This window comes from Homo sapiens, chromosome 3 (assembly GCF_000001405.40).
Source record: "Homo sapiens chromosome 3, GRCh38.p14 Primary Assembly".
NCBI classification, from domain to species: Eukaryota; Metazoa; Chordata; class Mammalia; order Primates; family Hominidae; genus Homo; species Homo sapiens.
In genome coordinates this window covers 114448038-114470546 of record NC_000003.12, presented here as the reverse complement: position 1 = coordinate 114470546, position 22509 = coordinate 114448038, and the positions used below count along the sequence as shown (strand labels likewise).

The 22509-nt window shown below is 37.0% G+C and overlaps 1 protein-coding gene and 1 long non-coding RNA gene across 18 annotated transcripts in view, besides 1 other annotated feature; one reads left to right on the top strand and one right to left on the bottom strand.

The window, feature by feature from the left end:
- The window catches only part of ZBTB20-AS5 (ZBTB20 antisense RNA 5), a 66540-nt gene extending 49586 nt beyond the window's left edge, over nucleotides 1-16954 (bottom strand). The window contains exon 1 of the long non-coding RNA NR_121661.1: nucleotides 16907-16954. This is a non-coding gene — a long non-coding RNA (ZBTB20 antisense RNA 5). The remainder of the gene's footprint in view (nucleotides 1-16906) is intronic.
- ZBTB20 (zinc finger and BTB domain containing 20) overlaps nucleotides 1-22509 on the top strand; it is an 832789-nt gene that overhangs the window by 676742 nt on the left and 133538 nt on the right. The window lies entirely within an intron of this gene.
- Nucleotides 20677-20826: an enhancer, noted in NCBI's record as "active region_20277". NCBI's record gives its function as "activates an Ori minimal core promoter by ATAC-STARR-seq in GM12878 lymphoblastoid cells {active_cell/tissue: GM12878}" and the evidence as "EXISTENCE:reporter gene assay evidence [ECO:0000049][PMID:35858748]".

Here is a 22509-nt window from a genome sequence, read left to right as displayed (position 1 = left end):
TCTGGTATATTGTTAGGTCTAAATAAATATATTTCCTGGAAATTGAGAGCCAGGTTTCTCTTCAAGATGAAAAAGGAGCTGAAATTATGCCTGTCTTCCACATATAACCAAGATCTATATTTAAAAGCAAATAAAAAACTAACTACTATAAAACATGGAAATAAACATTTTCCACATTTACATTTTTAACCCTAATTTTTCCACTAAGTATATTCAGATAGGCAGGTTAAATATAAATTAAGTACTTTTTCAACATCAGTTTCTAAAACAGAAACTTTCAAAGGATTCCTAATGTACTTTAGTAGTATAAAAGTGTCTTTTGTTATTATATAAGGGAAACATAGGGTAATCTGAGACTGTGTCATTTTTAAAAAGCTGTTAAGAAATGATCACCTAACATTTTATGGAGAGATACCAGAGGTATTTAGTGAAATCTCACTAAAAAGAGACTCCCTTTTTCTATATCTTTAATGCTTAATTTCCAAGTGGAAATATTGTTTTTAATCTAAATCTTGAGCATTTTAGATAAGTTGAGAAATTGTGTGGTGAGTGGTTTTTGTTTTTTATTTCTAATGAATCAGTAATTTTGACCTTCGTTCCATATGCCTCTTTAATTTATGGTGAATAAGTAATACTGATTTTTCAAAAATTAATGCACAATCTCAAGCCCCCAAGTTTTAAAATTATGATATTTCCAATGGCAAATGAAATAACATGCTGTCCATGCAGTTAGTGATTTGAGGCAATTTGAACATCATGATAAGAGAGGGAGGGAATTACAAGCAGTGTTATAATTAAAGGTCTGTTGATTCTTCAGTTTAAATGCCATTGTTGAAAGATTTTTCACTCAGATGTCAAAGTCTGTGGCCAGCCAAAACTTGGCATGCTAGAACTCAGCCCAGGGAAACATTGTGTTCTACAGATTTAAAAACCAAAATCTGTTAAGAACAGAAATGTTGGGCTTGGGCTGATTTCTCATGAATCAGAACCAGAACATAGCCAAATACCACCTCCTCTTTATGAAAGGAAGTAGTGCAGGTGGATGTTAATGGGAAATGTTTGTTCAGATGGGAAATGAAGGGAAATTATCATTAGATATCATCATACAGTGCACTGGGTTAGAGTTTTATATCATTAAAGCATGTTTCTTTGTGAAATTAAAAGCATTTTAGACCCCTCTTCTATTAAATTCTTCATGGGTGTTAAGTGGGGAGCAGTATTTACCCATCTTTCAAGATTTGCACATTGAGGTTCAGTCTCTCCACATTACATTCCTTGTGACTAGGAAAACTTGAAGTAAAACTTTATTTGCTTAACTCTCTACCTAGAAATATATTTCCAAACACCGTCTTGCCCTTTCTTTAATTAGAAAGTTACAAATCAGTGGCCTATGAGCTGCATCTAGCTAGCAGATAGAATTTTTTAAAATGTATGTTTGGTCCACAGAATATTTAAAATAATTTGAGCCAACCTTTAAGGTTAAAGAGATTTCACACCAAAAAAAAACTAGATTTTTTTTTTTTTTTTTTTTTTTTTGCTTCTCTTGAAAAATTGGAGATCTGACAACATTAGATCTGCATCCACATGTGGCACCAATATCTGGAACTGAGTAGCAGCTGCTCACTTCAGACAAACCATGTTCTCTCCAGTTTGACAAAGTCCCTATCACCCCATATTTTATGCCACACCTACTTCACTCATTTGCTCTTCCACCCTGGCTCCTTGAGGCATTTGACTTTTCTTTCATTGCTTGTGGTCGTTGTATTAAGTTTCCTCGCTTGTGGTATTACCTGTTAAAGTTTCCAAAATTTTCTTTTCATTAAATAATAGCATTGCAAAGACTATGCCCAATGATACTGGACAAAGAATTATTGAAAAGAATAAAAGTCAGAATGCAACCAAAATGTCCAAAAATAGGTGATTGTTTAAATTGTATTTTATGCTGGTATATCCTTAGAATAGAATACCATGTAGGATTAAAAATGTTTATCTTGAAAGAATGAATGCAGATTACTAAACTATGTATACATCAAGATTCCTATGTTGTAGGAGAAGAATATTCATACATATAGAAAAAGAGCTAAAGTGATGTGTCAAAGCAGTATCAGAAAAATATGTACATATACAAAAAATATAAACAAATAAGTGAATAAGTAAGTCCCAAGGGCAGCTTTTGTGGGTCCCCTTCTACAGGGCTTTGTTAGTCCCTTTTGACCTAATGGTTTGAACATATGCTAAAGCTATTTTTTAATTCTCTATCAAAACCTGATTTTCCTTCTTACCTTTATTCTTTAGAGAATACAATGAAGAATAAGATTTCTGTAGTTGTTTTAAATACTTGAGAAAAGTATTCTTACTTGCCCACATGCTACACTGCCACTTTGGCAAAGCAAGAGAACCAGTTTCTGTGTTGGCTTTGAGTTAGTTTGTTCTTCTAAAGCACCTTTTGGTGACATAAAAAAATATTCAAAACTTTAAAAAAAATCTTGGAACAGAAAAAATACACATAAACATTGCACTTAATAACATGACCACAAAAACTCTTAGAGGCTAGGACTGAAACTCATCATCACAAAGGCGTCAGCTTTTTGCCAACCATAGGAAGGAGTGCTCCCAGGTAAAAGCCATCCAAGCATTTATGGAAATTTTTCTGATCCCAGCGTTTAGCACAATACCTTGGAGTTAGGAAATGCTCAAAAATACTTCCTGAATAAAATACAAATAAATTCACATTCCCACCAAGGAATAATTAACCTGCATATAAAAATTCAGTTATCTTTTGAATTAAAATCAAACCATAAAGTTTGGATCTTGCTAACTACTCTAAAAACTTCCAGATATAGTTTTGCTTCAGAGTTAATAATGCCAACATTTTTCCTAGGAAAAAATAATGTTTGTTTATGTGTGTGATTGTATGCATGCTTGAGTTTAGGGAAAGGGTAGAAAGCAATAAGAGGTGGTCCTTTCAAAGATGAGTACAGTGATGAAGACTCTAGCTCTTAAATATACCTCTTCCTCACAGCAATCCTAGGTATCCTGTTTATGATTTGATTGTTTTGACTATCTATCTCTAATTCTTGAAGCATTTGAAGCATTCTTCACCTTTACACTCTATAGCGTCTGTTTTTATGGTTCTCCTGTTCATCTGAATGATCTTTCATCCATCCTCCCTTTATCTGCCCACAAAATGTAAGTTTGTCTGTCTTTCTCTCCTCACTGCATTCTTGAAATCTGTGGACAGTTTCATGAAATCCACATAGCTTCAACTAGATGTTTGGAGCACTTCCCTAGAGATCTAAGTATCTAGTCCTGGCCTGTAGACTCTGGTACTGCACATGTGGGTTTCCTGCTGCTCAATGGACATTTCCACATGTTTCACCCACAACATCTCAAACTCCTACTGCTATCCTTTGAGTAGTCTAGAAGCTAGTCAAATTGACCCCAGACACAGTTTGTGCTTTCCTATCCCTTGCTTTGACTCTTTCTGTTTCCCTTGCCTAAAACCTATCTCTCCAATTTCTAATTGTTGGAATTTTCCCACATTCCAAAGTCCATCTCAAACACTGCCTGCTTCAGGTAACTTTGTCAGTGTCCACCGCTGAATAGCAAATGATATTCCTCAAGTCACTGAAACCTACAGATTTTTTTTAGCAACGCTTTACGGTATTAACTTATTTGCATCGTGTTTTAGTTATGTGGTATTTCTTTTCTCCCATGTTCTAAATATTAGGATTATTGCTTCTAATCTTTGTAGCTACTTTCTAGAGCTTAGGTCCTAGCAGAGTCCCTTGCTCACAGCAGGTGCTTATTAAATATATACTGAATTAAATTGGATTTATGTATTGATGGTTGCGCATTGCACATGTGTTGTGATTTGGGAGACCCAAAACATCCACCTGCCCAAACTATCTCTTCCATTTTCCAGGCCATAGTATCTTGCTTTGGGACGTTCTCTTGTACAAATGTGAGGAATTTCCACAAATTTAGTCTTTTGTTCCCAAGCTAAGTACACTATTGGCTGGGTAACATGTGAGTTCTGCTACTTGTTATCTCCTAAGAGGGAGCAAAGTCTTAAAAAAGAATAGGCCAAAGTTCAGATATGTTCTCATGGAGGCAACAGATAGGAAAAGGTCCATGAAAAAGACAGGATCACAGATAGGAACTTGGACTGTGCCACTTATTAGTTGTGTGCCTTGCTTGTCTCATCTGTAAAACTAGATGATAATAATAATGATGCCTACCTTAGATGTTATGAGAACAAAGTAACGGGGTGTGAAGTGCTTACAATAATATTAGGCACATTGTGTTAGTGAGGGTTGACTATTATTAGTTACATATGTCATACATATATGGGATATATATAGTGTATATGTACTCATATATTAAGTATACTCTTTCTCCCCTCACTGCATTCTTGAAATCTACATAGCTGCAACTAGATATTTGGATCACTTCCCTAGAGATCTAAGTATCTAGTCCTGGCCTGTAGACTCTGGTACTCCAGATGTGAGTTTCCTGCATATATATATATATGCTTAAAACATAATGCACACACACAAATGTACATACATGTATTTGTTAATTATTGTCGCAAAGGAAATCCTGGATACTCAGAGACCTTAAATGTCTGAAGATTGAGGATGTATAAGAGAAGAGATGAGACTCTGTCACACAGACCTGAGGTAAAGCTCAGCTCTGCCACAGGGAATACCTGTCTTTTATATTTGTTTTAAAGATTAAATGGCCGTGTCATGAGCATAATCATCCTAACATTGGACTTTGGACCTCCTTCTTTTGGTGATTCCTATCCCTTTCTTTTCTTTCTTTCTTTTTTTTTTTTAAGACAGAATCTCACTCTGTCACTCAGGCTGGAGTGCAATGGTGCGATCTCGGCTCACTGCAACCTCCGGCTCCTGGGTTCAAGCGATTCTCCTGCCTCAGACTCCTGAGTAGCTGGGATTACAGGCGTGTGCCACCATGCCTGGCTAATTTTTGTATTTTTAGTAGAAACGGGGTTTCATCATATTGGCCAGGCTGGTCTTGAATTCCTGACCTCAGGTGATCCACCCGCCTCGGCCTCCCAAAGTGCTGGGATTACAGGCATGAGCCACCGCACCTGGCCCCTATCCTTTTTCTGAACTACACATTTGTTTTCTTGACAAATTAGATTTCAGACTTTTGTTCTGGACCAAACTTAGAAGAAACAGGTGGTACTGTTTCAGAAAAATGGTGTCAGTACAAGCTAATGATTTCAAATTATTAATAATTTAATACAGTAGTGAAATGTTAAAATATGTACGAATTAATATGCACCAAGCCTAACAGAGAACAAACACTCACCAAACTGTAGCTAAATCCTTAATCTAGAACAAACTTACCAGTCAGACCAGGTTTTATAAAAAATAAAATATCTCTTACCTATGGAAATAATTAATTATATTACAGATTTTACAACTGGCTTTTTTTTTTTTAAGTACAAGAATTTAGGTTTTTACCTAAAAACAAAACAGTCCTTTCCACTTAGTTCTATTTGAAGGGAGTGTGTGGGGGTTGGGGGAGAAGGAAAAACGAAGGGGAAAAAAAGTCTTGAGAACATCTACAAACTCCTGGATATTCAGAGCTGAAAGAAAAAGAACCTTGTAATGTACCTTCTTGCATTTAGTCCTGTTATTGTAGTGCTGTGATGTGGCACTCAATGCTCTAGGGGACCTAGAGCAAGTGTTACAAATGCAACCAAAAGTCTCATGAAAATGAGCCTCTTAACAGTGTGTGAGCTGGTCTACAATGGCCTCAGGAAATCCCCCCAGCTATTCATGTCCTTTTTATCCACTACATTCTCTGACTCAAAGGGAAACCTCCCTTCACCTCCTTGACCAGAATTGAGCAGACATTGATTTGGTTACCTAGAGCTTTATTTATTCATTTATTAGTCTTTATCATTTGTATTCCACTAGAACAAAAGAATATATCTTTTCTTTGCATTAATCTAAGTTTAAAGATGTGCAAATGTGTTTGTGGGAGAGTGCATATTTATGTTTACGTAATTTTATGGGTAGCTGGCTTTAAGTTAAAATATTTTCTGTCAAAACCATAGTACATAGAGCCTCCCCATCACCATCACTGTGCAGAATGACTGTACTTGACACATAAGCTGAATTCCTAAAATTGTTTCACGTAAAGTGCGCCTTTTAAAAGAGATCATGTTTTTCTATTCACTTCTATAATTAGATTGAGTGTCACACAGGAAAAATAAGTGGCCCAATGTATATGTTTTTTTAAAAAAATTAAGAATCACAACTTTCACCTCAGTGATAATGATGCATTTATCTATGGACACTTTATGTGCATAAATTGCCCCCCAAGAAAAGCCAATAAAAAGTGAATATAATTAAACAGCAGATAGTTTGAAAGCAAATGCTACTTGTAAACCACTGTACTGAAGGCAGCGGGAAATTTGGAGATGTGTAAATCAGGAATTGTCCTCAGGGAGCATATAGTCTAGTTAAGGATGCATAGCAGAAAAGGTAGAATTGTATGCACAATTAAAGATTCAAATAGCAGTTCAATATATTCAGAGATATTCTTCGCACAATTATATTAATGACTTATGTTGAAATTATACCATGTAGTTAATTTCCCTTCCATTTTAGAGGACTTACTGAGTACCACATACTATGACAACTATCTAAATAGCAACAATGCATTATGAGCTCTTCACATGAATTCAACTTAGGCGAAATTCAATTTTGGTTAACAAAGTTTGGGCAATTCAAGCAATAATAATTTGTTTTGAGGTAGACTACATGTTCCTGTTCTTTTAAATGTTAATGCACAGTAGCTTTGTTACAGATTTCCTTCAGGAATGCTTGTTGAACTAGTGGACATTTCTAAGCAGATTTTTTATATTAAGCAATCAAGAAAAAGCCTTTGAAGATATTTTCACTCCCTCAATACCAGCTTCGGATGCTATGTTTTCTTCAGTGTTATAGTACTGAATTTGTTCTTACTTAGGGAATATGTTCAAAGTTGAGTTGGCCAGAATGGAAACATTGTAAATTCTGCAGCAGTGTCTATTTCATGTATAAACTAATCATGATCAAAATAGAGATCCTATAGGGACCTAAAGGAAATTAACATCCTTAGTTACCACCTTAGCTGTAACCTGAAAAAGGGATTAATGTAAGTTCAGGGGGAAACCTTGGAGGCATATACAACGTAGATGTCTAAAAATATTCAAGCTACCGTACCCAATATGTCTGTATATATCTTTACTCTCCTGCTAAAGAGTAAATAATAACAACATCAGTAACACCAACCGAATGAGATTCTTAGTTTACAAAGCATTTTGGATACATCATCCATTTTGATCTTCAGAACAATTTGTAAGATTGGTAAGGCACATATTATTCATATTTTACAAATGAAAAATCTATGAAATGTAAAAGGACAGATGACTTGCTTAAGGACACAGAGCTCTTAAAAGGTGCAGCTGCATCTCCTGATGCACCAGTGTGACTGGCTCAGAGGAAACAGCAACCCAAACAGAATCTTTGCTACACAACTGTCCTGCAAGGCACAGAGGGGTTGCCAAAAGGTGACGTGCAGACATTAGTCTTCAGAGGAAGGACGAGTCCTCAGGCCAAGAGGCATACGTCACTATTATTTCATGAAAGAAGGAAAAGACATGGTTAGCTTTCTTATGAGGTGGTTTTCTCCACATATATAGAGCTGTTGAGAAATACTGCAAATTTTCATTACTCAGAGATTGGATAAAATTCTGATGATTTTCCATGAAAATCATAGTTGTGTCTAATCTGGTTGCATCTGAGTTCCCTTCAACCTACTAAGAGTTTGGACTTGAACCTCTAAAAAGATCTCAGTCCTGATCAGGACCATCCTTCCCACCTACCAGGATATACATATTTTCTATTGAAAAAATATGTGACCATAATCAATTGTTGAGCGAGCTCCCTGGAGCTTCTTACTTATTTGAGAATATGGTATGGAAATGCAAGAGATCATGGGCCACTTTACTAAAACTGAGTGTCATTGGAAATTGATAAAAAATTGTGGTTCTGAATCCCACAAGCCATAGACTTTCACTGGCATACAGAATTCAAAGCTGTCACTAAATTCTGCTACCTGATAAATAGAAAGGTAGACTTTCAAATCAAGAAATTTAGCACTTGGTTCTAGAGACTAATAATGCCAGCAGATCCTCCATTCAGCATCACACCCTTTAAACATCTACAGACTTCCAGCCTTTATTTTGGCCTGGAGAATTGGACATCTGGAGCTTCTTGAACTTTTTTTCAGTATTACTACCTGGGAGCCCTAGTTAATATGAAATATCAAGGCAATATCACCAACAATGTGGTCCTAGGATACTTGCAATCCAAATTGATGTTTCTTCTACAATAATAACCCTGAGGTTGTAAAGTGTTTTCATATGCATGATCTTGTTAACTTCTACATTAACTTTTCACATAAAGCAATTTATTATTATTATTAATTATTATTATTTCCATCTTACAGATGAGACAAATAGACTAAGAACATAATCTAAAGTCACATAGCTGGCAAATGACAGAGTCACCATGACACCTAGATTAGCAGGTGATCTCACTCTGAGTCCAACGTGTTTTTTCATTAGCCTTGATGAGCCTCACAGATTTGTCCTATGACAATTGTTCTCAGCTAGGCTTTAGAATTACCTAAAGGGCTTGTTAAAATATACACACTCAGACATCCACCTCTGAGCATCTGATTCAGTAGGTCTAGAATAAGACACAATAAGTTACGTGTCTAACAAGTTTCTAGGCAATGCTGATGCTGCTGGCCCAAGGACTACTCTTTTAGGAGCACTATCCTATAGAATGTAAGCGGTAACTGAATGGCAATGATACACTATGGCAAAAGAGTCTTATTAAAGTTTGGATAGGGGCTGGGCGCAGTGGCTCACACCTGTAATCCAGCACTTTAGGAGGCCCAAGTGGGAGGACCATTTGAGGCCAGGAGTTTGAGACCAGCCTGAGCAACATAGCAAAACCTCATCACTACAAAAATTTAAAAATTAGCCTGGCATGGTGGCACACACCTGTGGTCACACCCAGCTACTCTGGATGCTGAGGCTGGAGGATTCCTTGAGCTCAGGTGGTTGAGGTTGCAGTGAGCTGTGATCACACCACCAGTGCACTCCAGCCTCGGTGACAGAGCAAGACCCTGTCTCAAAAAAAAAGAGGGGGGGGGGAGGAGATTGTTTTGTTTGTTTTTTGCCTAAGCTGCCTCATGCTTCTTTTTTCTGACCTCTGTTAAGAAAGCTCAGAAAAAAATGTGGGGTGGGGGTCTAGCAAGAGAGCACTCACTTCTGAATGAGTTCAGGTCTCTGGCACTCAAGAAATGGACACTGAAACCCTTCTCTTTGCTTCTAACTAGAACTACTGTTGTAGATTAACTTGGAGATACAATTGCCAAACCACCAGTGAAGAGTTACTATAAGACAGGAGGTGGGCAAATGTGATTAGATGGATCTGCAGCCAACTGATCAATTAACCAATAATCATTAGATTGATTGCTTTATGTCAACTTAGAAGGAAGCTCTTAGTGTCAGGAGAAAAGACCCTCCTTGACTTATCCTAGTCAATATTTTTCTGAAGACTGGTAAGGGTTCTTGTATCACAAGCTCAGTTTGAACCAGTAAGGTAATATATCTGCTAAAATAATTTTTTAAAGAGCTAAGAAATATTTCAACTGTGTTGAAAGATTATGTCCAGATCAAGGTAGCTGATGGTCCCTGTGTTAATTTCCTATGGCTGTTATAACAAATTACCACAAGCTTGGTGGTTTAAAACAATGCAAATGTATTCTCTTACAGTTCTGAAACCAGAAGTCTCAAATCAGTTTCACTGTACTAAAGTAAAGGTGTTGGGAGGGCTGGTTCCTTTTAGCGGCTATAAAGGAGGATCCATTTATTTGCCTTTTCTATCTTTTGGAGGACCCTGCACTCCTTGGTGCATGACCCCTTCTTCAAATAACCCCAACCTCTTGTTTCTGTCATCACATCTGCTAACTCTGATCCTCCTGCCTCTCTCTTATAAGAACCTTTGTGATTACAGTTAGAGTCCACCTAGAAAATCCAGGATAATCTCCTCATTTTAATAGCCTTAATTTAATCATATTTGCAAGACCCCTTTGCCACGTAAGGTAACATTCAAAGGTTCTGGGGATTAGGACATGGATATCTTTTGGGGGGGGCCATTCCTCAGCCTACTATAGTTCCTTTGTAGTGTGTTTATCAGACTACATTAGGAATATTGTACCCCTTTATCAGCACCAGAATTTAAGAGTTCCGTCAGTAAAATATGTCCAAAAAAGAGGGGATCTGGAGTCAAGAGTATAAAAGCCATCTTTCAAAGTATGAGTGAGAAGAGTGTGGAACCAGGGACAGACAGACTGGGTTCCAGCACTAGTTCACTTCTACCAAGTTTTTTTACCTTAAGCTTGTCAGATAAAATATCTCTGCCACTCAGCTCTTCTCTGTAAACTGAGAGAACCAGAGAATTTCCTAAATACCTTCTGCTTGTATAAAATCTGTCAGGCTGTTCCTAAATGGCATTTAAAAACCAAGTGCTTACTATCTCTAATATTCAGGATAAATCTTGTCCACTTTTCTTTTGAATTCAAAATTCACCTAAATTTTGAATTTAAAACATGTTTTCTAAGTACTTCTTGCTATAAAAATAGTGGCGATACTATGAAAATAACCAAAACAAGTGCTTTTCACTAGCTAATTCTTAAATACTATACCCTCCAATATTATTTTCTGAACATCAAATCACTAATCTTAGGATAAAGTATGCCCCTTTTACATGTTGAAAACTTGACACACAGAGAGAAAAATTTGTATTTACTCATGAAGAACAAAGGGAATTAAAATTTGTTGCTTCCAGCTTTTCTGGGAGATCATCTACCACCATGGCAGGTGTGATGCTGGACAATACATTAAATATACAAGGTAGAATGGAAAGACCTTGTCCTGGAAGAGCTCAGTCTTAAGGAATGAGTAACTAACCAGAGGGCAGTCACTGAGAGACTGCTATCATTATTACAGGGGTCAAACAGGTGGGAAAGGGCTGTTTTATATATTTATTGTGGCTTGTTCTCAGATAAGAGCATGGGACTTGACCACTGGTTCTCAAAAGGAAATATGGACTAGTTTGATACAAATCTCTCTATAGCATGAGGGTTATCTTATGAACACCAACTTTAAATGATATTTTACAGAGCGCTACAAAAAATAACTTGGAGGAAGTTTATAAGAAGGAAGGCTTCAAGAGCTGAACCAGAAAAAAAGGTGCTTGAAAGTAAATCAAATTATGAGATACGTTGAATTATGGCATTTATTATTATGTGCAGAATATGCATGGAATTTTGAACTAAAAGCTGAAGGAGCAAAGATCTAGAAACCTTCCTGCATAATAAATAAATTAACCCTTTATTCTCTTATTTTCCACACTCCCTATATTTGATGACTTATTCATACAAATGTACACTAAAAAGGCCTAATAAACTATGGTCTACCATGGGTGCATTTACCTATTTGTGTACATGTTTTAAGCATATTTTTCTGGGAGTGTTTCTTTAGTATAATGCAGGCACAGTATTTCAAAGGCCAAGAATTCTTTGGAAAAAGGAAAAGGAGTTGTGTCTGTTTATGACTGTCAAACTTTCCTAAGCTTATTAAATTAGGATATGTTGTCCTTTTCTTTCATAATTTGAAGATTATTCTAGTGATATGTTTGGAGATAAAAAAAAAAAACCTGTCAAGTAAGTCAGAGCTAATAAATGGGTTAATAATTCACTGAAAACCCGTACGTTCAGTATGCTCTACCACTCAGGACTTAGTCTCATTTTCTACTCTAAAATATCGAAGTTTTCATTGGTATTTTTTTATACTGGAAACTACATAGTGTAAGAAAATCAGCTTATCATGAGCAGGTCATCAGCTCTGGAAATATCTGCCCATGAGAAAAAAATGTGATTGGAATTCTGTCACCAAGGAAATGTTTTAAAAATCTGTTTCATTGCCAAACAAAAAGCTTCAACTAGTTATCTTTATTTTACAATGACTTTAATTCTTTTGCCCATTCATTTATTACATAGCTACTATACACTGATCATTTAGAAAAAAAAGCACCCTAAATGATTATGCAAACCTTAAATATAACTATATGTTTGTGTGTATTCGTATGCTTTTTTAAAGAGCACATTTGTGACAGGAAGTGAAGAATGGCATAGTCGGGGGAAAATTAAAGAGACACGATGTAATTATCCGAACTGGAATTAAGCCAATTAATAACCCTTGTGCTAACACTGTCCTCAAAGTGCTGAAAATGCCGTCAGATATTTAAATGCCCTGGGTGGTCATGGTCAGCACTCTTCCCTTCATCCATTTTCAGCACCATGCAGGGACATGGCTCACCCTGGTTTCTGACAAAGGACTACACCTGAAGTGAGCTACAGAAGAAGGACAGATTCTATAATTCGAAAACAAGATTCTCTCAAGTGGTTTTGCACAGATTATTACTGATCTCCAATGAAATAAAAATTCTAGTGTTTTTTTTATTTGCTTATTCATTCAACACACATTGACTGAATACCTACTGTGTGCCAGTTTAGTACCATGGCTGAGAATGCGGGCTTTAAAATCAGATTGGCTGGATTTAATTCCCAGCTCCTCACTTGCTAGGCGTGTGATCTTGAGCAAGTTACACAATCTTTCTATACCTCAGTTTTCTTTTCTATGAAATGCGGATATTGGTAGTACCTCATTCATAGGATTCTTGTGATGCTAAAGTATGATTTTAAAATGTAAAGTCCTTAGCAGACTGCTTAGGGCAAGCCAATTAGTAATATGTTGGCCATCATTATTATTATGAGCCAGGAAATATAGTAAAATCTGGGAACAAAGAAATAATACAACCCCAGATGACCTAACATCCTTGAAGTTTAGATTTTAGGAATTTAGTTCTAAACTTTATAATCTCTACTGCCAATCCTTTCTAGTAGAGATCTGTATATTAGATCCTTGCTTTGCTATATGCTTTCATGTCTTGAACCTACATGCTTTGAATATAACACACTCAGCACATCCATAATATACACTTTTGTTTACACACCTTCCTCCATAATAACTACCGTGTAATGACTAGCTGTGTACTTTATATGTTTCCTCATGTCATCCTTAAGACAACTCTATGGGACCAATATCATCACCTTTTACAGAAAGGAAAACTGAGGCTTTCAGAGTAGCTGTGACTTTTGCAGTGTTATATATAAATATGTGTTTGCTCCAAAGCTCTTGTTCTTTTTTCTCAGTTCACCAACAGACATTTACTAAGCACTCCACTGCTTTCTTCTGGGCTCTGGCCTATCAGGTATTTTGGGGCTTGCCAAAGGATCTGCCATTATCAAAATCACTGATTCCTTCCCCCTTTCCAAATCAGTCAACTGTAGGCCGTGTGTTTTAGGCATGGCATAGCAGCCATTGTTAAAGAGGTTGGTGTGCAAATAAACTAAATTACTCTGGCTATGACTTCTCTCAGATTACTTGTCTTTGAGTGGGCTCCCACGTGCCTGACATTTCTTTCGGTTTTCTTCTTTCTCCCTAAGTAGCAATGTTGTTGCTGAAGCATGACTGAGAGATAGTTTTCGGTTTCATACACATCCTGAGTCTTGTTTTAGGGCAAGAAACTTAATCTCTCCAGTAACATCTGATGGCACTGTTCTCTTCATAAGCACCTCTTTCACCATTTAAAAACTGGACCTTCAATTACCCATTGTCAAAAGGGAATCCTTAGTGAACATGATCATATGTGTCCCGAAAAAGATACCATCACTTTCATGGGCGGAAAATATAGTTTCCCCTTTTTAGTAGCTCATTTTCAATTGAAATATATTGGAAAGGTTGTACATACCTAATTCTCCAGGTGGAAAATCTCATCAGTGCTTTAAAACTACATAGTATGCTGAAAGACTCAATCTCTTTCACCCACAATGTGCCTATATTTTAGAAACGAGGTGTATGAGAAAAACCACATCTTCTCACTTGGTGATATATAGCAGATGATGTTCATAGAGCGAATTGTAAATTCAGGGTGAGGTCTTTGTAGATCAAACCACTAGCCTTCATTAGCTTGAAAATGTGACACAAGTTATATCTTGCTGAGACGAGGCCTCTACAATATTATATTTTTCTGCTTTTCTCCTAGAATGAATTAAAGACTTAAATCCCTTGTTCCTAGCATTCAAAATGGTCTCTCTCTCTCTCTCTCCATATATATATATATACATAAACACACATATATATAAAGTGGAAATGTATTTATATATGTAATTATATTTCCATTTGGCTATTTAAACATTTTGAGAAATTGGAGGTTTGTGCACTAACTATATAGGTGGAGTAATCTTCTTATTTGGGAGGTAAGGGTGATTTTCATACCTGTTGGGCCAGATCTTCAAAGAATACTCTAGGTTAGCTGGTGTGGTGGAAAGAGCACTGGCCTGGTGGGCTCCTGGAGTCCTAGTGTCTAGTGTCGACTCTGGGCCTCAGTTTCCTCTCTACTAAATTGGGAGGGGGAGAGATTGATCTCTGGGGCTTTTTCTAGCTCTGTATTCTCTGGGTCTGCAAATCGCCTTCAGTGTCTGCCTTGCCAGCTCTGTTTGTCACAAAGATTAATCCATTTTAACTGTACCTTGGAGTGCACCCGGGAGAGGAGGATGGATGGATTGTTTTGTACCTAATATTGCATCAGAACTTTTGCCTTTTTAGATGAGATCGTGCCGTGCCTAAAATCTGTCTGCCTATCTGCCCACTGACTTTGTCTGTGCTGATCTCTTGCCACGGTGCCTCTTCTTCCAGCATCCTTCTCCCTCCAAGATCTAGATTCGGCATCTGACTGTACCTGTCTTGTTCTCTGCAGCATCTGTCTGCTACACTCCTAGACCATCGTTAATAAACTTTCACACATTACACGAAAACCCCTAATATGTTGGCACCTGCACATAAATATCTATGGTTCATAAAACTAGAGGAGAAAACTCCATTTTTTAAAGACCTCTATCTAGTGCCATTTGTATTTGCACTTTTTGTTTAGTTGTAAGTTTTAATAGTTCCCCCTTTGAGGATTTGTCAGTACGAGCAGTATTGCTTATCAGAACACACCAACAGTCTTTTTGTAATATTCGCTTTTCCCCTTTGGTTCAGCCGAGCCTGCTGACAGATCATTCAAATTCAATTGTTTTATGTCTAAGCCGAACAGCTAATTAAAGTAGGGATGATTAACCTGACTGGCAGTGCCGCTCTCCCTCTCGCGCTCTCTCTCCTTCTCCTTTTCTCTCTCTCTCCCTCCTGTTCCAATCAGTCTTTTTCTCACACACTCTCTCTCTCCGTCTCTCCTCTCTCTCCCTCTCTCTCTCTCTCTCCCCCCCCTCTCTCTCTTCCCCCTCTCTCTTCCTCTCTCTCAGTCTCTCTCTCCCTCCCTCGGTTGGTGTCTCTCTCTCTCTCTCTCTCTCTCTGTCTCTTGCTCTACTGTTTTTTTTTCCTCTCTCTCTCTCCTAAACGTGGTCTGCTTGCTGATGGCAGAATGGCACTCGGAGATTTGTGCATTGTGTCTGGTTTCCTACGGGCAGGCTGACCCAGTGCCTCCAGGGACTTATCAATAGACCACTCAGAAGAGACACAGACAGGAGAGAGGAGGAGGGGTGGGGGGAGAGAGAGAGAATCAATATCAAGAATAGAAGGAGCTCCGAAGCCATTTTTTTTTTAAAGAAGTATCGGGACTTGGGAGAGGGTGACAAAGAAGGTTTTTCAAAGAGGCAGTGGAGGAGGTTCTAATAAATTTGGAAGGAAACAGTTCCCTGTCTTGGGAAAAGGAGAACTCCTGACTGATTAGCATTCACACCAGGTATGAGATGTTCGCTACCCCTTATCACTGTGTCGCAACCGAGATGGAAAAGCCTTTTTTTTTTTTTAGGAGACCGAGGGAGCATGTATTTTGCTGTGTTTGTTGTTGGGGGGTAAGAGGGGCGGCGTGAGAAGCTGTGGGCATTTGTGTATGAGAGCAGAAAGAATGGAAGCAGTACAACGGGGGGTGGGAAAGAGTATGGAGTATGTTACTGTCTTCCCTGTCTTTGTGCACCCCTGGGGGGTTACCCAAGTTCATTTCTAGCAGGTGGATTTAGACGGGAGTTACTTAACGCTTGACCGCCAGTTTTGAAAAAAAAGAAAGAAAAAAACGCTGCTTCCTATGTCTATTAAAGGAAGCTCCAATTTCTCTCTCTCTCTCTCTCTCTCTCTCTCTCTCTCTCCCTTCTCTTTTCCTCTCTCTTCCTCTCTCTCTTCCTCTCTCTCTGCCCCCCATCCCTCTTCCCCTCTCTCCCTCTCCCTCTCTCTTCTTTTTTTCCTCTTCTAACCAGACAGCGGGAGGGTTTCTGGCTCCCAGCCAGCCCAAAAGCCTCTAAGTGTTTTGCACTTGTTTCAGGGAGTAGCTGCCCGGGGATTTTTCAGCATTTTCACTAGAGAACAAAGAGTTCTTTACAAAGGGAAGGGTGGGGGGGGGGGGAGTGAGCTTAATGTCTGATATATGTTTTTCTATTTTTATTAGTTTTTCGCCTAAAAAGAAAGAGACAGGAACAGAACATTCACTCTATAAAGACACAAAGACATTCAAAAGAAATCCAGTTATCTTTTCTCCCCATCATCCCAATATATACATATATGTACATGAAAAAATTAAAAAGAAAAAGACTAGTTAAGTTGCATATGTTGCTCTTTTCTCCTCTTTTAATCTTTCCAAATCCAACTGTTCTTATGCTCACTTTATGCTATTTTTTTTCTACTCACAATAAAAGTTGTTCAGGATGCATCTTCTCTTATCATGTCTTTACCCTTTCTGGGTCGCCAAAATCTTGTGGAAGAAAGAACAAAAGTCCATCAAATAATCAATTTGGTGACTAGAACATCTTCTACTTTTGCCACTTGGGTAAAAAGTTAATTATGGAATTTGGGTTCCCAAAATACCAATGGGGTACATCAGTTCATTCGATCTCACAAGTTTTTGCATCCATCTGTTTAAAAGGTACCACTTGTGTCACTTGTCAGTTATTAAGAAAAGGTAGTAAGGGAGCAGATATTTGTATTTTATTTTTGTTTCTAATTATGTAAATGACAAAACCCCCAGAGAGATTTCTTGCCCCTTCTATGATACACTAGTTCATGCAAAATATAGTCTAGATGGAGATTTTGTCAACGATTCTGATTGCCACGTAGCTTTGTGTTCTCCATTTCAATTTTTGCCTATGCATGTATATTTTTACCATGAATTTGTGTTGTAGCAAACATTTCAGAATGCTTATCATTTTCAAATTAATGCTCCAACAAAAGCAAAAAGAAATCAGATGTGAGCTGTATGTGTAAAATGTAGTAAACAATTTTATCTTTTATATATGCTGTACATTTATATCTTTATGCTAATATCCTGGATTTGTAAACCCAAGATAATGTTTTCTTTCTTAAAGTTCTCCTCTTAATGCATTTATATGTTGATTGTCACTTAGAAATCTTTTTAAGGTACATTATAGACACGAAACTAAACAAGGGGAACAATTCTCAAGCTCTACAAAAATCCTTAAATATATATTATGTACCATTCCTAACTACAGATAACTGTTTTGCTAAGTAGAAAACAGCTACAACAGTTGTTTCAAGAATCAGAAACTCTTTTCTTTTTTTTTCTATTAACTGAAAATAAAATCTATTCATATCCCTGGGGAGGGAAAATGTAGGGGAAAATATAGATATATACATTTTCCATAATTATAGAATGCATTTATGTAACTGCTTCTTAAGGGTGTAATACATATCAGGGCAGAGTGTGATGCTCATCAAAAAACCCTCCTGGCTGGGAGGTGTGAGTGCCTTATGTTTGAAGTAACTTGATAACAAGGAGTCTTTTCGGGAAACCTTACTATGTATGTGTTGCCTCAGTAATGATCCTCAGATAAAAAACAAGTACTAGGTGGCCAGTGTTAGCACTTGAACTCACTGAAAGATATTAGAAGTAGGGGAACTTTTGGCAAATCCAGAATTTTCCAGGGTAACTCACTTCTTACACTTACATGTTTTCTTTAGGAATATTCTTGAATTGCTTTCAGACTTTTCTGTATTTTTGTAGAATTTTTTAATGCTTTTAATAGTGCTTAAGGAGAAAAATACTTTTAAAAAGAATGTCATCCAAATAAGAGAAACTCAGTCTTTAAAAAGTTTTATATTGAAGACAAGAGTTGTTTTGGTTTTGCTTTTTTCCTTTTTGCTTGTGTTCTATTTTTTCTCCCTGAATTCTTTTGTTGCTGTGGGCTGTTGTCCCTGCATTTTTAATTTTTCATTTGGTACCCCCCCTTTTTTTTCTTTTTTCTTTTTCTTTTTGGTCTGTTTTTGATGTGACCAAGGGGATCTTTGAAAGGGGCAGAGGGACTGGGATAACAGGCTGTTACTGAAAGCTGCACTAGCTCTTCTTGATCCCAACTCAGGCAGCTCCTATCAGCTAGTTGTGCCGCCAAGAGTACAGTGACAGGTGATAGCTGTCATTCTGGGATTCTTCGTGGATCTGACCTGAGAGTGACACATTCACAGTCGAGGAGAAAAGGGAAAAAAAATAGAGGAGGAGGAAAGAAAAGCTCTTTGAGCTGGAATACACTGGCCCTTTCTTCCTGTAGGCAATCCGCTCCAGTTCTTGGCGACGTGTCCTGCACTATCAGATATCATATGACTTTTTATTTAGATTCCTTTTCGGAGAATGGCCTGTTAGGACTCTGTTTGTTTTCTTTTATTTAATTTCCTTCTCCCCTCACCCACTAGTTTTGCGTATCTGTGTGTGTCATAGCGTGTGTGCGCACATGCATATGTGTGTGCAATTTTTATCTTTGTTTTTGTTCTGTTGATCTGATGCTTTATTTAAAGACAAAGCTTTAATTATTTCAGTATACTGGTTTAATTATTTGCCAAAAAGAAACCTCATTCTAGGCTTTTTGGGGGGTCCATTTTTAAACACATCCATTAACACATGAGGCTGGAGATCCTATATGCTTGTTGGTCTGCCCTTGGCCCACTCCCTCACCTTAATTTAACCCTCCCCTTCATCAGCATGCACAGCAGTATAAGTTAGGAAACACCTGTGCTGAGTTGAGAGAGAAATAAAAGTAGAAGCAACTTCTTCAAATTTGCACTCCTAGTTTCACTTTAATAAACTTTTTTTAATCGTTGATTTTTTTTTTTTTTTTGGCATCCTCTGTTAAGCTTGAAAGCATCAGAGATAGTGAACGATGTGTCTGTGGAGCTTTTGTGAGGCCAGCTGAGCACCCTTGGAAAGTAGAGCAGGAGCTGAAATTCATTCAGAGACTTAAGAATTAAGTAAGAGATTTAAATAAGATCTGTGAGATCTGTGAGCTGTTCAGGGTTTGGTGATAGATGGTAAAATGGAATGCTTAGGGATATTCAAGGAAGAGAAAGAAATTTTCAACCAGGAACGAAACAGGCATTTCTACTGCAATTCATACTTTAAAAACCTTCTTTTATCAAATTTTTATTTTATATATCTCAAAATTTAATCAATTGGTATGATTGCCTTCTTTTCCACGCTTGCTATGAAAAACAGATGAATTGTGCCGATGTTATTACTGGGTTTCTCCTAAATTTTTGTTGTATTTCTTTTTCGGCTTTAGAGAGTTCTGATTTTAGTTAGCAAAAGAAAAATAAAACTTCTCTAGGTATGCATATGGTTGTATACACATTATTCTTATCTACATATAATATATCCTGTTTGTATCAGGATATAATTTTTGTATAGTTACATGCAAGACTGCCTTGAAAGTTCAGATGACCATTACATTCTTTAAACCCATAGTTTTTAGTTTCTTGTTAGTTTCTCTAAAATTATTTTTTACAGACCTTAAATTTGTAATGCCTTATCATAGCCAGAGGTGAATTTTGTTGAAACTTGGAGAAAAATTTATTCCACCCCTTTAAGCGTACCCAAAAGGGAAGAGAGAACTATTTTTCGTTCAACAAAAAATTTTAAAAGCCTTTTTTCCTTCAGCGGAAAACTCCAAAACAGCTTTGTCTCAGAACGTTAAACTTGGCATGGATAAAAAAATTTGAGTTTTGCTTTGTTTGAGGAAATTTGTTTTTGAAACAACAATGTTATAAATATTTTTAAATTGCCTGCTGAGCATGCGCTGTATCTGACTTTATTCATAGTTTTAAACACACACCAAAGTGCAGTCTTCTGAATGGCCACAGGTAAGGCTGTTGATTTGTATGATCTTTCGCAGAGGCACCTTCTGTGAGTCTACTCAGTTTTCCAGAAGGGAAAAAGGCGAGAGCTGAGTTTAGACCTGGACACCTTTCTAAATATCATAGAGCAAAAGTAAATTGCCCCATTAAGGCTTGCACATTACACTTAGGGTAAGTACTGTTCAACTTTCCTTTTTTATAGGAGTTGCCTGCCTTAACTTTTCAGCTTAATACGAGCAGCGTAAATTAAGAAAAAAAATTAACTCAATCAGTTATTTCACTGAAATAGAAAATTTGCAGATTTTAAAGGGTATCTATTGTGCATAAATTTGGGGATACGAGAATTTGCCAGTGAAATGATAGCAGCTCTGTGCTTACAGAGCAAAGATGTGCTAGTCTGAACATGCCTGATCTCATCTGGAATCGAAAGCTAAATCTAGGTGGGCCTGTAATAATACCAGAAAAGGAACACATGTATCTTTTGTGCAACCTTTTTTTTTTTTTTTTTTTAAAGCTAGGCTTCCAAAGGGAATGACAAAGAAGCAGGTTCTCCTCTTGCTTAATAAGTAGTCATAGTTTGCCTCTGGAGATATGTATTTCCAGTTGTTTTAGTTGTTTTGTTTTGTTTTGTTTTGTTGTTGTCATCGCTATCGAAGAATATTCTTTCCTGTCAGTGATTATTAACACTTTCCGTTTTTCAGAATGCTTTAACTCTGTTTGATGTTTCCTCACTTGGTTACCTTTCTCAAGTCTGCGATGACCCTCTCAGGCTTTGCCATTCTTATCGATTCTTACCAGAATGTACTTACTCATTAGCTGTTTTGTTATAGTTATGGTGGAGATAATCTTGTTTTTCAGGCTTTTATAACTAACCAAACAAATTACCTTTTGAGGTGAAATTTCTCATAGTTATCCTTGACACAGAACTGAACTTGTCTTGAAAAGGCTTGAAGAAAATCCAATTAGCCGTTTTTTGAGAACTGAATATTCTAATAAATGCAAATGGATTATTTTACAAAATACTTATTGATGTGCAATGCTTTTCTAATCTGTTTTTCTTTTCGTGCTTTAAAACAGACCCTGAAAATTAAATGTATTAAAAAGAAAGAAAGAAAAAGAAAGAAACCTGCCAGGTTAATACTGATATTTTAAATACCCAATTTAAAATAATGCTCAAAGTTTGAATTTCTTTGCAACATATCACCTTTCAGTGTCAGTCAGTAATACCTGGGCAGGTATATATATACATTCACACCCACAGGGAAACATGAATCCACTTTACAGTTACATTAATTCTATTTTAACCTACAAGAGAAAAGGTTAGCATTACTGTAAAACTTTTGTTAATTCATTATATTTTATTTTTCTGTAATAAAAAATTCACTGAACTATTGCTTTCATCCAATTATATATATACTTAACACCCATTTATATTCAAATATTTTATCTTAATTTATGAAGTATTTTTATAAGTCTTATATGCTGCTGAATTTTATGCAGCTATATGAACGTTTAAGTTTTTTCTGATACAATTTGCTTTGTTCCGAATCTGTTACTGTGTTAGAAGTTTTTTTCTTTCCCAATCTAGAAAGAGTATGGCCATCTTTTCCTATATGTGATATCTATACATCTTCAGTATTCTGAAGAAGAGATTTTTTAACCTGCAATCTCTTGGAAAGCTTTCAAACAAGTGGGAGAAGTAATCTTTACTTTGCTTCTCCTTGATCCATCTGTTTGCCCTCACTGTACCACCCGTCACCACCAGCAACCCTGAAAAAAACAACAGTAATAAATATGATACGATAATTTTTCTGATCACAGAACCAGGAAATACCAGAGAAAATTGTGGCATATGTAGGAAAATGCCAAGAGCTTCTCCAGTAAGATCAGCTGTTTTTATACTTTTTTTTTTTCCTCTTGAATTTTGTTTGTGACTTTTTTGGCTTGCTGAAGCACATCCCCATAATCTTACGAAGCCACAGCAAATTCCCAATGCCACAACAATACTGTGCAGCCGGGGAGAGGCCAGAAGAGCTGATCCTGGGTGGCTGCAGGCTTCCCCAGCAATGGTGCAAGGCAGGAGGAGTAAGTAGGCTACTCTTCTTTTCCCTTCTTACCTAGGCTGCCCAACCTGCCAGCTAGAGATTTTCTTTCTG